The 16,115-nt window shown below is 39.9% G+C and overlaps 1 protein-coding gene across 1 annotated transcript in view; it reads right to left on the reverse strand.

Moving 5' to 3' along the window:
* Nucleotides 1-16,115, reverse strand: part of USP34 (ubiquitin specific peptidase 34) — a 283,625-nt gene that overhangs the window by 5,538 nt on the left and 261,972 nt on the right. Inside the window, exons 70-75 of the mRNA NM_014709.4 lie at nucleotides 15,899-15,977; nucleotides 13,760-13,886; nucleotides 13,017-13,124; nucleotides 11,497-11,601; nucleotides 11,256-11,380; nucleotides 10,140-10,263 (exon numbers count right to left, since the gene is read on the reverse strand). Of these exons, the coding sequence (NP_055524.3) occupies nucleotides 10,140-10,263; nucleotides 11,256-11,380; nucleotides 11,497-11,601; nucleotides 13,017-13,124; nucleotides 13,760-13,886; nucleotides 15,899-15,977 (668 nt within the window). The remainder of the gene's footprint in view (nucleotides 1-10,139; nucleotides 10,264-11,255; nucleotides 11,381-11,496; nucleotides 11,602-13,016; nucleotides 13,125-13,759; nucleotides 13,887-15,898; nucleotides 15,978-16,115) is intronic.

Consider the following 16,115-nt stretch of genomic DNA (forward strand, 5'->3'; position numbering starts at 1 on the left):
AGAATAGGTTATAATTATAAATTATACTAGTGAGATACTCAACTCTGCAGGTACAATATTACAGCTATTTCTAGTCATAACTGCATATTTTCTATATTTTAAAGTACATAAAGGGGAAAAATTCATTCCAATGTTTAGTGAAATATCTTAGAATGTGGTACTTTGAATTTATTTATATCCTATACCTCATTCCTGAAGGATATGGGACTTAAATCAACTCTTCTTTTTTGAGTATTAGAACTTTATCTGGGAAAAGAAAAAGTTACTGCAAGTGGCTCCAAATCTTTCTTGGATTAAGGTACCACTCTGCCTATTAGATAATTTTCATAGGGTGGCTAGACTGCAGGAGGGAGGAGGGGAAAGGTAAAAAAAAAAAAAAAAAAAAAAAAGTGGAGAATTAAACATATCTTTCCTCTTTTACCTTCTTTCTTCAAAGATAGAATGACCTTTGTGGTACATTTAAGTAAATGCGGCCCTTAACACCAGTTTCTTGGCTTGTTCCCAGGATCTTCTGAGTGGACCGCATCTGGCACTATGTCAGAGAGTGCTATTTGGAACCTCTATGAATTTACTTCTCCACTTCTTGACTATTCCAGATGTAAAATATGTCACTAAGATGTGTGCCCCTATCCTCTGTCATCCTATCTCTGAAAGTACAGAAGCTTCATTACCACAGTCCTAAATGAATTTCCCATCTTCCACATCCCCTAGGGTCCCCAGGGCAAGTATAATCATGGAGAAGAAGAAATATAACACAGACCATCCTCTTCCAGTTAAGAAAAGACTGAGTTAGACAAGGAGTCAGCAAACTTGTTCTGGGAAGGGCCAAATAGTGTTTGAGGCTTTGTGGCCATGCTCTGTTAACACAGCTCAACCCTGCTGAGGCAGTGTGAAGGCAGCCTTAGACAAGAGTAAGGAAATGGGTGTGGCTGTCTTTCAGTAAAACTTTACAAACACTGAAATGGGAATCTCATAATTTTCATGTCAGAAAATATTCTATATTAAAAAAAAATTTAAAAATATGAAAACTATTCTTAGCTAGCAGGTAGCCATGGTTATACAAAAACAGGCAGCATGTGGGTTGTAATTTGCCAAACCGTGGGTTAGACCAAGGACTTGAGAACATCCTACACAGGCAAGTCAGGTCACTCACTCAGAACTTACCAAGGATGCCTAGGATCCCTTCCACAGGTAAGCCAATTTATTTTCCTGTCAAGATGAGTCCCTTTAGACACAAGAGGCAAGGAAATGCTACTTCCCCTTTATCCTAACCTAATCTGGTTGGTGTTTGGCAGCATATACCCACCACGGTATCACCACACACATAGGTAAACAAGGACATGTCATCACATCTGTGGCTATAGGGAAGAGAGTTCCTACGTTCCCATGTTCCTGTATCCTAATTACTCATCAAAGTAGAGGAAGGGTTAGCAAACTATGGCCCTCAGGCCAAATCTGACCCATGGCCTGTTTTTATATGGACTTGTGAGCTAAGAATGGCTTTTTCTTTGAGACAGACAGTGTCTTCACTCTGTTGCCCAGGTTGGAGTGCAGTGGCGTGATCACAGATCAGGGGCAGCCTTGAACCGCTGTGCTCAAGTGATCCTTACACCTTAGCCTCCGTAGTAGCTAAGACTGCAGGCTGGGACAATTTTCTTAAAAAAATATTTTGGGGCCAGGCGCAGTGGCTCATGCCTGTAATCCCAACACTTTGGGAGGCCAAGGTGGGCGGATCACCTGAGGTCAGGAATTCGCAACCAGCCTGACCAACATGGAGAAACCGTCTCTAGTAAAAATACAAAACTAGCAGGGCGTGGTGGCACATCCCTGTAATCCCAGCTACTTGGGAGGCTGACGCAGGAGAATTGCTTGAACGCGGCAGGCGGAGGTTGCGGTGAGCCGAGATCGTGCCATTGCACTCCAGCCTGGACAACAAGAGTGAAACTCTGTCAAAAAAAAAAAAAAAAAAAGTTTTGGGCCAGGTATGGTGACTCACGCTGGTAATCCCGGCACTTTGGGAGGCCGAGGCAGGAGAATAATGAAACCCCGTCTCTACTAAAAATACAAAAATTGGCTGGGTGTGGTGGCACACACCTGTAATCCCAGCTATTCAGGAGGCTGAGGCAGGAGAACTGCTTGAACCCGTAAGGCAGAGGTTGCAGTAAGCCAAGATTATGCAACTGCACTCCAGTCTGGGTGACAGAGCAAACTCTCTCAAAAAGTTTTGTAGAAATGGGGTCTTGCCATGTTGCCCAGGCTGGTCTCAAACTCCTGGCATAATTCATCCTCTTGCATTGGCCTTTGAAAGTGCTGGGAGTACAGGCATGAGCCATCATATCCGGCTGGCTTTTACATTTTTAAAGGTTAAAAAAAAAAAAAAAAAATCAGCCAGGCTGGGCATAGTGGCTCATGCCTGTAACCCCAGCACTTTGGGAGGCCAAGGCAGGCAGATCATGAGGTCAGGAGTTCGAGACCAGCCTGACCAACATGGTGAAACCCCGTTTCTACTAAAAATACAAAAATTAGCCAGGCGTGGTGGCACGCACCTGTAATCCCAGCTACTCAGGAGGCTGAGGCAGGAGAATCACTTGAACCCAGGAGGCAGAAGTTGCAATGAGACGAGATTGTGCCACTGCACTCCAGCCTGGGTGACAGAGCCAGACTCTGTCTCAAACAAAACAAAAAAACCATTAGCCAAACAAAAAACAGTATGTTACAGAGACCTTGTGGCCTGTGGAGTCTAAAATATATAGTGTCCCCTCTTTGCAAAAAGAGTCTGCTAACCCACTAACCTCTGAACTAGAGGCTGCTCTGACATTAACCCTCTTATGGGCAAGCAGACTGTATACTACAATTTCTCTAGTCATTTCTCCCCTACTATCCCCCCAAAGTAAAATAATCTTCAATTTTTTTTTCTTTTTTTGAGACAAGGTCTGGCTCTTATCACCCACGCTGGAGGACAGTGGCACGATCTCAGCTCACTGCAACCTCCGCCTCCTGGGCTCAAGCCGTTCTCCCAGCTCAGTCTCCTGAGTAGCTGGGACTACAGGTATGCACCACCATGCACGATTTTTTTTTTTTTTTTTTTTTTTTTTTTTGAGACGGAGTCTCGCTTTGTCGCACAGGCTGGAGTGCAGTGGCGCGATCTCGGCTCACTGCAGCCTCCACCTCCCGGGTTCATGCCATTCTCCTGCCCCAGCATCCCAAGTAGCTGGGACTACAGGTGCCCGCCACCATGCCTGGCTAATTTTTTTTTTTTTTTTGTATTTTTAGTAGAGACGGGGTTTCACTGTGTTAGCCAGGATAGTCTCGATCTCCTGACCTCGTGATCCACCCACCTTGACCTCCCAAAGTGCTGGGATTACAGGCGTGAGCCACCGCGCCCGGCCAATTTCTGTATTTTTTGTAGAGACGAGATTTCACCAAGTTGCCCAAGCTGATCTCCCATTCGTGAGCTCAAGTGATCCGCCTGCCTTGGCCTCCCAAAGTGCTAGGATTATGGGCATGAGCCATGGCACCCAGCCCTAAACAATTTTTTTTTTTTCCTTTCTAGACAGTCTCACTCTGTTGCCCAAAGCATGTTGCAGTGGCATCGTCTTGGCTCACTGCAGCCTCGACTTTCCCAGGCTCAGATGATTCTCCCACCTCAGCCTCTCGAGTAGCTGGGACTACTGGTGTGTGCTTCCAATGCCCAGCTGATTTTTCTATTTTTTGTAGAGACAGGGTTCTGCCGTGTTGCCCAGTCTGGTCTTGAGCTCCTGGGCTCAAGTGATCCAGCTGCCTCGGTTTTACGGAGTGCTGGGATTACAGGTGTGAGTCATCACATCCAGCTAAATATAAAGCAATCTCTATATCTATTTTCCACAACTACCAAGAAGCCAGCACTACCACGACAAACAAAAAAATACCATAGAGGCCTTTTATGATCTCTAATCACTTTGAAGTGGTATTCTGTTATAAGTATCTCTATTTTACAAGTAAAGATGGAAATAGGCCAGGCGTGGTGGCTCACGCCTATAATCCCAGGACTTCGGGAGGCCAAGGTTGGTGGATCACTTGAAGTTAGGAGTTCAAGACCAGCCTGGCCAACATAGTGAAACCCCCACTCTATTTAAAAAAAATAAAATACAAGAATTAGTTGGGCATGTAATCCCAGCTACTCAGGAGGCTGAGGCAGGAGAAATCACTTGAACCCTGGAGGCAGAGGTTGCAGTGAGCCGAAACTGTGCCACTGTACTCCAGCCTGGGGGACAGAGTGAGACTTTGTCTCAAAACAACAACAATTAAAGAAGGAAATGAACATTTTCTAGGTATGTCAGATCATTATATTAAATTTTCTCATCAATTTTGAGAGCCATCGTTTTATCCTAATTTTGCGCTTCTTTTGGATGAGGAAATTAGGCTCACAGAGATTATATAATCCTCTCAAATTCATTCCAAAGTCAGTATTGATATAGTTAAGACTGTAGTCTACCCCAGATTTATCTGATTCCAAAGCCCATAAGCTTTTCAATGTTTTCCGCAACTTCAGTCCATTTGTTAGCATTTTCATGATTTTCTTCACATCTGCCATCACCTGTACTATTGTTTACTTAATACTTACTTTCTCTCTTTTGAGACAGGATTTTGCTCTGTTGCCCAGACTGTAGTGCAGTGGCCCAATCACAGCTCATTGTAACCTTGAACTCCTGGGCTCAAGTGATCCTCCTGCCTCAGCCTCCTGAGTAGCTGGGACTACATGTGCATGTCACCAAGCCCGCCTTCTATTTTGGTGGGGGGAACAGAGTCTCACTCTGTTGCTCAGGCTGGAGTGCAGTGGCTCCATCTCAGCTCACTGCAACCTCCACCTCCCAGGTTCAAACGGTTCTCCTGCCTCAGCCTCCCAAGCAGCTGGGACTACAGGCGTGCGCCACCACGCCCAGCTAGATTTTTGTATTTTTAATAGAGACAAAGTTTCACCATGTTGGCCAGGATGGTCTCGATCTCTTGACCTGGTGATCTGCCTGCCTCAGCCTCCCAAAGTGCTGGGATTACAGGTATGAGCCACTGTGCCGGGCCGGCAGTACCAGTTTTCCATAATATTAAAATAACTTATTAAAATTACAAAACCAATGCATAATCATTACAATTAATTTAAACCTTACAGATATATTTAACCTAGAAAATGAAAGCATTCTATAATTTCATCCTTATAGAGTAAAATTCCTCTACTTTTTTCTGTACATGTACTAAGAGCGATTTTCCCCTTGTTTATAAGAATGTTTATATTCTGCATATTATTTTTACATTTTTATGTAATTCAATGAACATGCCTGTCTTATTTGTTTTCATGTCTCAATATAGGTGAACTATGGTTTACTTAACCAAGCTCCTACTGATAGACATTTGGGTTGTTTCCAGTTTTTACCCATTACAACCAAAGTGAAAATAAATATCCTCTGTATATTGGGAGGCCAAATTGCCTCCCAAATGGACTCTTGACTAGTACTCCATTATAAGATCTCTTCTTTCCCCAAACCATATGGGTATCATCTGAGCTTCACCCTATCTGATAGACTTTTTTTTTTTTTTTTTAAGAGAGAGAAATAGGCTGGGTGCAGTGGTTCATGCCTGTAATCCCAGCACTTTGGGAGGCAGAGGCACACGGATCACGAGGTCAGGAGTTCGAGACCAGCCTGCCTAATATGGTGAAACCTCATCTCTAATAAAAATACAAAAATTAGCCGGGTGTGGTGGTGGGCACCTGTAGTCCCAGCTACTTGGGAGGCTGAGACAGGAGAATTGCTTGAACCCGGGAGGTGGAGGATGCAGTGAGCCAAGGTCACACCACTGCACTCCAGCCTGGGCGACAGGGTGACACTCTGTCTCAAATTGTTTGCTTTATTAGTAAGTCTGGGCAACTTCTCATGTGGTTACCAAACACTTTTTTGTGTCTAAACTGCCTATTCATGTCCTTTGCTGATTTTACTTAACGTTCTTCATCATCTTACCAAATCCTAAAAATTTGGTATATATTGGCAGTGTTGGCTGTTTATCTGTTAAGTATGCAAACATTTTCCCAATTAGCTGTTTGTGTTTTAATTCAGTTTATGGCATTTTCACCATGTAGTATTTTCAATTTTTATGTAGTCAAAACTTTCAACTTCTTATTGTTTCTGGGTTTTGTGTCCTAGGTAGCATGGTCTTTCAAATCTCATGGTGGTATTCATGTGATGTTATGTTTTCCTTTAATATTTCAATGATTTTTTTCACAATTAAGTCCTTTTTTTTTTGAGACGGAGTTTCACTCTTGTCACCCAGACTGGAGTGCAATGGCGCCATCTCGGCTCACTGCAACCTCCGCCTCCCAGGCTCAAGCGATTCTCCTGCCTCAGCCACCCGAGTAGCTGGGATTTCAAGTGCCCGCCACCACGCCCAGCTAATTTTTGTATTTTCAGTAGAGACAGGGTTTTGCCATGTAGGCTAGGCTGGTCTCGAACTCCTAACCTCAGGTGATCCACCCACCTCGGCCTCCCAAAGTGCTGGGATTATAGGCGCAAGCCACTGTGCCCTGCCCCCAATGAAGTCTTTAATCCTCCTGGTATTAATTTTGGTCTAAAGAGTGACATATTAAAGATTTGCCCCATAGACAGCTAACCAGTTATGTCACTACCACCTATTTCCCACCAATTTCCCACCAATTTGGGATGTCATCTTTATCATCTACCAAGTCCTCATGTATCTTTATGTTTGTTGAGGCTATTTACCCACTGCTTTGCCTATGTATTTCTGAACCTATACTACATGGTTTTAATCATTATAGTTTACTGTTGTGAAATAAGGGAGAAAAACATCTACATTTGAAAAAAGGACAAATAAAAAATAAAAATGGTGAGAAAAGGTCTGTGATATCTTGATATTTATCTTTCTGATATTTTGAACTGTGAAGTATCTATTAAATTCTAAAAAATAAAATAAAAACTACCATAACTTTACTAAGTATTTTACACATCAGCAGTGCCAGTCCCTCTTACCATTGCTCTTTTTCGAGAGCTTTTTTAGGCTAAACCTGTGTGTGTGCGCATGCAGAGAGACAGGGTCTCTCTCTGTTGCCCTGGCTGGAGTATAGTGGTGTGATCACAGCTCACTGCAGCTTTGACTTCCTGGGCTAAAGTGATCCTTCCACCTCAGCCTCCTGAGTAGCTGGGACCATAGGTGTGTGACACCACATGTGGCTAATTAAAAAAAATGTTTTTGTAGAGAAGGGGTCTCCCCATGTTGCCCAGGCTTCTGCTGTTTTTAAGTATCAAAATACTTGCCGACACAGTTTTTTTCAGATGGCAGTTGGCAGCTTTGTTCACCCTTCCTGAATTCTCTTTCCCTTTCTTTCCGTTTCCTCCAACCCCATCCCCTCACCATCCTCACTTCAAAAACACTCCAACCCTCTCGCTTATTATTTAGTATCTGCAACTCTACTGTTCTCTGCAATTCAAATCTGTAATTATTATATATTTCTCTTTATCCTCTAACCAATCTTAAGATCTGCTCAGTTGCCCATATAAAAATTACCACAAAGACTTTTCCTCATAACTGGAAATGACTTGCAATCCATTATAGGTCTTGAGATGTTCTCACCAATGGTCACAATATTTTAATATTGTGGCCCTTGGACATGTAACCTCAACGTTCAAATGATTAAAGATATAACCAATTTAAACTTACCCTTTTCATTTCTTGTTGCCAAATATAATTTCTTGAAGAAATTATACAAATTAAAATTCTCTACCAACTCTGTGTGGTCATTAATGTGGACTTTCTTTTCTCAAGCCCTTTCCTGGGCCTCTCCTTGGAAACAGTCATTCGGTCAGCTCAAACTGTGGGACACAACTCTTTCCATTTATAGGAGGCATTAATGATAGGATTGTTTTTAGGAAACAATAGGAAAGTTCTTAGGTCTTTGTCTAAGACCTAAGAACTTTGTATCTAAGACAATGTCCAATTTTCTGTATTAACCAAGAAAAATTTTTTTCTTGCTCAATTTGTGGAGGTTTTGATTTATATTTAATGCTGTGCCACCAGTCACATTTGGCTATTTAAATTTATTTTGGTTAAAATTAAAGTAAAAATTCAGTTCCTTAGTCACATTTCAAGTTCTCAACACTCACAAATGATGGGCTACTGACTACTATGCATGGTGGTACAGTCAAAGAATATTTCCATCCTCATAGAAAGTTTTTTTTTTTTTTTTTTTTTTTGAGACTGGGTCTCGCTTAGTCACCAGGCTGGAGTGCAGTGGCTTGATCTCGGCTCACGGCAACCTCCGCCTCCCAGGTTCAAGCAATTCTCTGGCCTCTCAGTCTCCCAAGTAGCTGCAACTACAGGCACGTACCACCATGCCTAGCTAATTTTTTTATTTTTAGTAGAGACATTTCACCATGTTGGCCAGGATGGTCTCGATCTCTTGACCTCGTGATCCGCCCGCCTTGGCCTCCCAAAGTGCTGGGATTACAAGCGTGAGCCACCACGTCCGGCCCTTATAGAAAGTTCTATAAAATAGTGCTAATATAGAGAACTAAACCCTATGAGGCAACATTGATAGTGCTTCATGGTTACAAAAGTGATAAGACTGAATCACAAAAGCTGATTCAGCTGATGTGACGGCAAGTATTCTTTCCTTTCTTCCATTTCTCCACCATGTTTAATTCCCCTGAAAGTGTGCACTTGGGTTGACAAGACAACCCAAAACAGGGTAGAACATTCAATATTTGGTTAAAGCTGTCCGAGTAGCTAGAATAGTTCCTCACGTAACTTTTAGTATAAATTATATGAACACAATTACCAAAAATTTTTTAAAAAGTGTTTTTATAATTACCCTTCTTTATATGGGAGCAAGGCTGTACTACTAGAACTCCTGGATATTTTCTTACACCTGATTACTGCCAATGATGGGTTTTGGCCTTTTACCAAGTACCATGACCCAGGTGCATAATCCTGAAACGGCCAATCTGAATATATTCTCATCCCCCTACATCTTGGCATTCCAGCCATCCATATATAAAACCAGCTAATAATACCAGGTTACCAGGAACCAGCTTTCAAATCTAAAAATGCTCTAATCACTTGCCAATAAGATGGTTTTGCTGAAGTGGAATTATCCCTGACAGCTGTTACCACTTTCTTCTTCTTGGATAATGAATTCTAAGGTAGGGTCACATCTTCTGCCCTACCTGGAATGTATCAAAACCTTTTCCATAGGAAGGAGAGGGCTACGACTGATGAGGGGCACAAAGAAGGACTTGCAGGGTATGGCAATATTTTATTTCTTGATCTGGGTAGTAGTTCCGCAAGTATTTCACGTCCCACTCTGAAAACTATAGAACATTGGAGAGGATCCTGGCCCATCCCTAATGAAGTCAAGAGGGAGGACACAGACGCCTAGAACTCTGGAAGTCCTGAGATAGAGGACCTCTGGAGGAGAGCTGCATGTCTCTGAAAAACTTATCAGCTATAGGAATGTTACCCAAAGGGAGCAGTTCTCTAACAGCTCTTAGGCACATTACTGCAGAGACAATATTACTAAAGATATTCGAGACCCCCCGCCACATAATTCACTGATGGTTTTGTTTTCTGTTTCTCATCATCTCCGTTTTCAAGTTTCTCTTCTTCTCACTCACCTATTTTATGAGACTTACCTCCTAATTACTCATATATGCACCTCTGCTTCACACTGGCAAGCCCACTGCTCTTGCCATTGCCAGCTCCAAAGCACAGCTGGCACTATAGATCTCATCGCACCCTCAAGAGCAGGGCTGGGGAGTCCACCTCTACGCCTGCCTCCCTAAGCAGAGCAGTTTTGTTTTTTGTTTTCAGAATCTGCTGGGCAGATGGTGGAGGATGTGGGCTTCTATGTACAGAAGTGATCAGCCCTACTCCACACTCCTTTATAGGCCAGCTGAAACTCTGGGCAGAACTATTCAATGGAAACCAGTAAGTTGGTGTTTTCTTAATGAAAATTAAAATGTTCCCAAGAATATTAATATTTTTAAGCATTCACTTTAAAAAAAGAAAAAAAGGATTGTCTCATAATTTTTCTCCCCTTCCTGAATGACTAGGGGCTTAAAATAATTCAGTGGAATTTACTGCTCATCTTTTATACTTACTCAGCTTAACTAATGTTTCAGTAAATTTTTCACAGTTGATTGCAACTCGGCATAATAGATGGATGAACTGATGATAAGAAAAGAAGTAGTCTAGCAGCATACGATCATAAACGTCATCTTTGCCCTGAAGGTTAAAGATGATAAAATGGTTGCACTTAAATTGTATAATAAAGAGCATATTTTGTGCAAATGTAATAAGTTTAACTAAAAAGCTGATTCAATATTTATATTCTATAAGAACCTAGTTTTAAAATCCAAATTTCTAGTAATGTTATGATCTTAATTGTCGTAAGTTTATTTTCAGTGTGCAAATGCTATGAATTAAAATTACCCATTATTTCTATATACTTTAATAAAGTAAAATTACTGTAGGATTTTAAAATGTGACACTTTAGCTCTACAGACATATCAAGAAAAATGAATTAAGTTTGACTTTTGAAATAGATTCCAAGTTATTCCTGTAATGTTAATTATTTTAAATATTTTATCTTATAAGAACTTCTCAAGTATACTGAAAATCCGAAGATGGCAAGCAAGGGAGAGTGTGAATGAAGTGTGGGTAAAGAAAGATAAAGGGAAAAATTGTTTTTAAAAAAGTTGAAACTAAGATAAATTATCCTGTATCAATGTACCTTGTCTCTATAATTTAGAATTGGCATTATTTTAGAATATGAGTTAGAAGAAAGGAACCAGACTAAAAATGATGACAAATCTATCAATCAATATTATGCTTAGGTCAAAGGAATATAATTTAAGGGAAGTAGAAGAAGTCATTGATTATATGGCCAAATTAAAAAAAAAAAAACAGTACCTAATGACTTTTCAAATTTAGATATATGACCCAGTTATAATTTAGCCTAGTGACAAATATTAAGACTTACTATTAAGGTAATTTTTGAGGGGGAAAAAAAACTTACTACTTGTGCTTATTGTTGATTTTTGCAAATGTTCAACCAACATTTCAGAGCACTAAAAGGAAAAAGTCCAAATGAATCTAATCTTCTTAGGATCCACAAAATTGGTCACTTAAGTCTAACCTATTCATAACTGCCAGGGGAAAAATTTCAAATTACTTTGTACTATAGCAACATGGATTTTCCTGGCATCCCAACATACCTTACTGGTTTCCACCATTGTGGGCAAGAGGCACATATTGAGTTCAGGGCGCGGAGGCCGAATATTGCTTTTCCCTCCTATTAGCTTGATATTTTCTCGACAAGGGAAATAAGGTCCAAGAGACACTAAGATATTAAAAGTGTACAGTAAGAATAAATGGAAAAAATAAATCTCCATGCTTCAGTGTGCAGAACGATTAAATGCGAACCATATTGAAGTACTGTGCTAGATAAATACGTACTTGGTATATTACTGTGATGGTAAGTACAATGGTTGTGTTGTAGAAAGGGAACCAGAGTATGAAGAAAATCATGGGGACTCAAAAGTACAAGTTCCTTGAGGACATCTGAAAATAAAAACAAAGTTTGGGTAGCAAAAAATTAAGAGTTATATCTGCCTACTACTTTCCATCTTACAAATCCTATGATTGCCTCACTACAACCAGTTTAATGAGTCTAAAACTAAGCTCCTGACACGAGTAGAAATTCTGTCTTATGCTCAATCAAGTTTAGATCAACAGAGTTATTAACGACAATAGGGCATCATTTGGAAACAAAAGATTAAAACACTATTTATTGGTATTTTGTTTTAAGTATGAGATATTTTCTGGCAACATACAGTGAGGGATTTTTTTTTGGTCTCCCAGGCTGGAGTGCAGTGGTGCAATCAGCTCACTACAGCCTTGAGCTCCTGGGTGCAAGTGATCCTCCTGCCTCAGGCTCCCAAGTAGCTGAAACTACCGGCATGCACCACCACACCCAGCTATTTTTTTTGTTTGTTTTTGTAGAGATGAGGTCTTGCTATGTTGCCCAGGCTGCTTTTGAATTCCTGGTCTCGAGCAATCCCCTCCTGCCTAGACCTCCCGAACTGCATGGATTACAGGCATGAGCCAGCCCAGATTATTTAATGTACGTTGATTATGTGTCTCATAAAATCAACCAAAACAGCTTAGAAAGAAAACTAAGGTTCAAAGTTCCTTTGCTTTGAGGGATAATCCTTAATCTACTTTTAATGTTTTACGATGCTGGCTGGACTGATTCTCAATCTCCAATCACACAGGAAGGAATAAATCTCACGATGACAGGCTATAGGCAGTTTCTGGTGATCATAGGTTACTGCTTGTGTGCCCTTCCCCTCTTGCTAGAGAAGTAATTGCACAGAACGTCAAGACGGACTGCTTATATATGACAGCCAGTTAGTTATCCATGCTATTTTGAGAAAGTGTAAAATAGTTACGGTCTCTCGAGAAGTTTCTAATGTAGTGAAAAAAAAATCACTATAAATTTATAATGGGTGTCTTTTAAAAGCCACAAATTAGCATTTTATTATAAATATGCAATCAATAAAAAGATGCAATACTCAGAGCCTAAGGACAGCTACTGAGAAGTATCTTTAGGCAAAAGAACTCACAGTGAAATAAGTACTCTTATCCTTTAGAATGTCAGTTCTACCTTGTAAACATTTATATGGTTCAACCTTGCTTACATAGGATAACAAGATTTTAGAGCTGGAGGAAGCTAGAGATGAACTAAGGTCGGGGAGACTGTATATATTAAGTAATCTGCCCATTATCATGTGGGTAATGTAATTATGAGCCAGTTAAGAAATTTTCTTTATTTTCTTAGGACCTGCTAGCTAGTGTGAGTTACACATAAAAAGCACAAGTATCTTTCAAACACTACAGGCTTAACATCACGGAAAAACTCACAACAATGTTCTTCCACTAGGTTTTTACACGGGTGAATTTTTCAAGTAACTTACCTATACAGGCATTTCTAAGTTCTGGAGGACTATAGGAATTAAGAAGAGTTAACAGTTTATGGGCAAATTCAATTCGCTCCTGCCACTGGATTAATGCTTGTTTCACATCTGCAAATATAAAAGCACATATAAATATGCCATCTGAGATCAAACTTCCTCACAAATGTTTTCTACTGTAAACTACAGAATGCTAATGCTAGAAATTCAGGTTAATTACAAAAACATCTTCAGTGAAAGCTAAGTCATTTTCATGAGATGATTACTACTAATGTTAAACCTGCTAGATTTCTTAAAGAACATATTTCATTGATAATATGTCCCACTTTCTAGGAATGTATATGAAGAAGTTCAGAGTTCACAGTATCTTATAGGGACATAAGACAGGTAGGTTTTATAGTCATCTCGCATGAAACTGCAAATGATCTAATCTAAGCCAAAGAAGTTTCCAGCTGGAGAATCTTTACAAAGTGCCCAGCTTGTTACTGTGTTTGGAAATGTTTTCCAATCTCTGAAATCTTGATACCTGCTTGCGTATTTTTCAGGCAGGTACAAAAACATAAAAGAGCCTTCCAGCTTTACATCAGGAGTTCATGACAAACATTTCCTGATGGTTAGCTAGCTTCAGCCTCATCTTCTGTGCATAAACTAGGATAAAAACAATTTCTCTGGGGCACATGATTTTAAAACCTTCTCTCTCTTTACTAGTAGCACGAACAAAACATAAGAAGTAGGAATGAGCAAACCTTTTCTCTGAAGATAAGGGCGTGTAGACTTCAAAACCGAAAGAAATATTGACAGAAGTTCTACTAAATCTCCAGTCACATGGCAAGCTGTAGCTTCGTGATACATCATGTGCAAAGTGTTGAAAGACTACAAATGATTTGAAAAAATTGAAAACTTAATTTCATTTTTGCTTACTGAGCCACAAAATGGTAGTACTCGTCCTCTACGATAGATGTTTTCAGACTCAGACTGTGTGTGCACATGTGTGCAAAGCAAACGTATTTGCTTTCTATCCTGAAGTTAAACTCTCATTAAGCTCTTTTAAACATTCCTCACCTTCAGAGCTCTGCTATTTTGTGTGTATATTCTAGTCTGAAGAAATAGTTTAATCACATTTTTTTAAAAAAGTACTTGCTCTAAGATTGTTAAGTCTTCAAAATTACAAAGCAGTAGGTCACAAAAGATTAGGGAGAATAGGCAACTGCTTTAACCAACTTTCCAGGGTCTCTGTCCAAAGACAATGGTAAAGTGACTGTCAGCCATACTCAAAAGAGTAGGCCTGAAAGAGGTAAAAAGAGCTGCAAAAGGTAGGAATTCATTTCCTTTATATTGGCTTGTTAAATCTTTTAATTCCTTTAACTGTATTAGCTTAATTAAGCCCTTAGTTTTTTTCCTATTTTACTATACAGCACCCTTCTTTGAATCCTCTTCCACCAGTTCACTACAGCTTACACACTGTAATACCCACAGTTCAAATGTTAAAATTCTTAGCCCAGAACCTGCAGCAGTACCTAATATGAACAATGTACTTGTACAGTATGTAACTTGTAAGCTGTGGGGACAGAAACCAGTATGTCTTGTTCACTGCTGTGTCCCTAGTACCTACCACAGTGCTTGGCACAGAGGTAGACATTTAAACATCTGTTGCATTAAAAAAAAATTTTTTTTTTCTAAAAATACAACCAAAGCAGCATAAACATCTGTTGCATTTTAAAGAATGAAATTCTTACTACTCCTCTTCACCTACCTTTTTTTTAATACTTAGCCTTCCTCAAACATAACCAATATTTCTTTGCCTCAGTGCTTATTGTCATTTATCTAAATGTTTTCCCCCTTACCTTTGCAAATCCACATTCTTCAAAGTGCAAACCTGTTCTCTTATTTTTTATTATCATTAACTGAAAAAACATCCTACCTGTGAATTCTTATGGTACTCTTGGCATGTTTATCAGACTAAAGGGCTCACGTACCTCTGGTGACTCTGCAGCCATCTCATACTTGTGGATGTTCAAGAATTATAGGAAGCATAAACAGCTGATTTTAACCCTGTAATAGTCCTTCTGGTTTCCTCTGAGGATGGTGTGAAAGGAAAATATCTTGGGCCCCTTCAAGCTGGGAACCGCTCAGGGCAAATCGGCCTCTCATACTATTCAAAGTCATCCCTCTGCTCACCCAGATAGATGCATATTCTGATTGCCTCCTTTGGAAAGACTTATCAGAAACTCAAAAGAACGCAACCATCTGTCTCTCACATACCTGTGACCAGGAAGGCCCCAGAGGAAGGAGAGGCCTTGCTTTGGGTTGTCTCTGCCTTTCTGGACAGAGCTAATGTACTTCCTACATACAGATTGATGTCTCATGTCTCCCTAAAATGTATAAAATCAAGCTGTGTCCCAACCACCTTGGGCACGTGCCATCAGGACTTCCTGAGGCTGTGTCACGGGCGCGTCCTCAACCTTGGCAAAATAAACTTTCTAAATTAACTGAGACCTGTCTCAGATTTTCCGGGTTCACAATGGTAACCTCAGTTTCTATACTGTCAAATAAGTAGGCTTTTGGGAAATTATGTGTGCCCTTAATGAAATCACATGTATTTCATTTTTGTCCCTACAAATGAATAAAACTAGTCTATTTCAAATGGCTGTTCTAAATACAAAATAATGGGAAAAGTATGGAATTACTATGGAAAAAGGAACAGCACCCTAAAAATTATGACCTAATTATTCTTGGGATATAAATTCAGGTTTACTGATCTATATAATTAAAACCTTGCCACCTGTAAAACAGTTTACCATAAACTCTAAATGTCTATAAAGTAAGTCTTGGTGAGAACATTAAAATGAGATAATATCCACAGTAAAATGCAATAGAATATTTACCTCTGTCATTAGAATCAATCCTCGATTAAATACAACAAGAAGTCTGTCTTCATCAGATTCTAATAGTATTCTGAAGGCACTAGAAGAAAACATAAAGTTCAGTTTGAGAAGTCTGAATAAGAACACAACACTTAGGTGATGAAAAAATAAAAAGAAATAAAATCATCATTTAAGCTCTCTGCTTTCCTACCTACAGAAAAGAGACTGCTTCATCTGT

The sequence above is a fragment of the Homo sapiens genome, chromosome 2, assembly GCF_000001405.40.
Source record: "Homo sapiens chromosome 2, GRCh38.p14 Primary Assembly".
Classification (NCBI taxonomy): domain Eukaryota; kingdom Metazoa; phylum Chordata; class Mammalia; order Primates; family Hominidae; genus Homo; species Homo sapiens.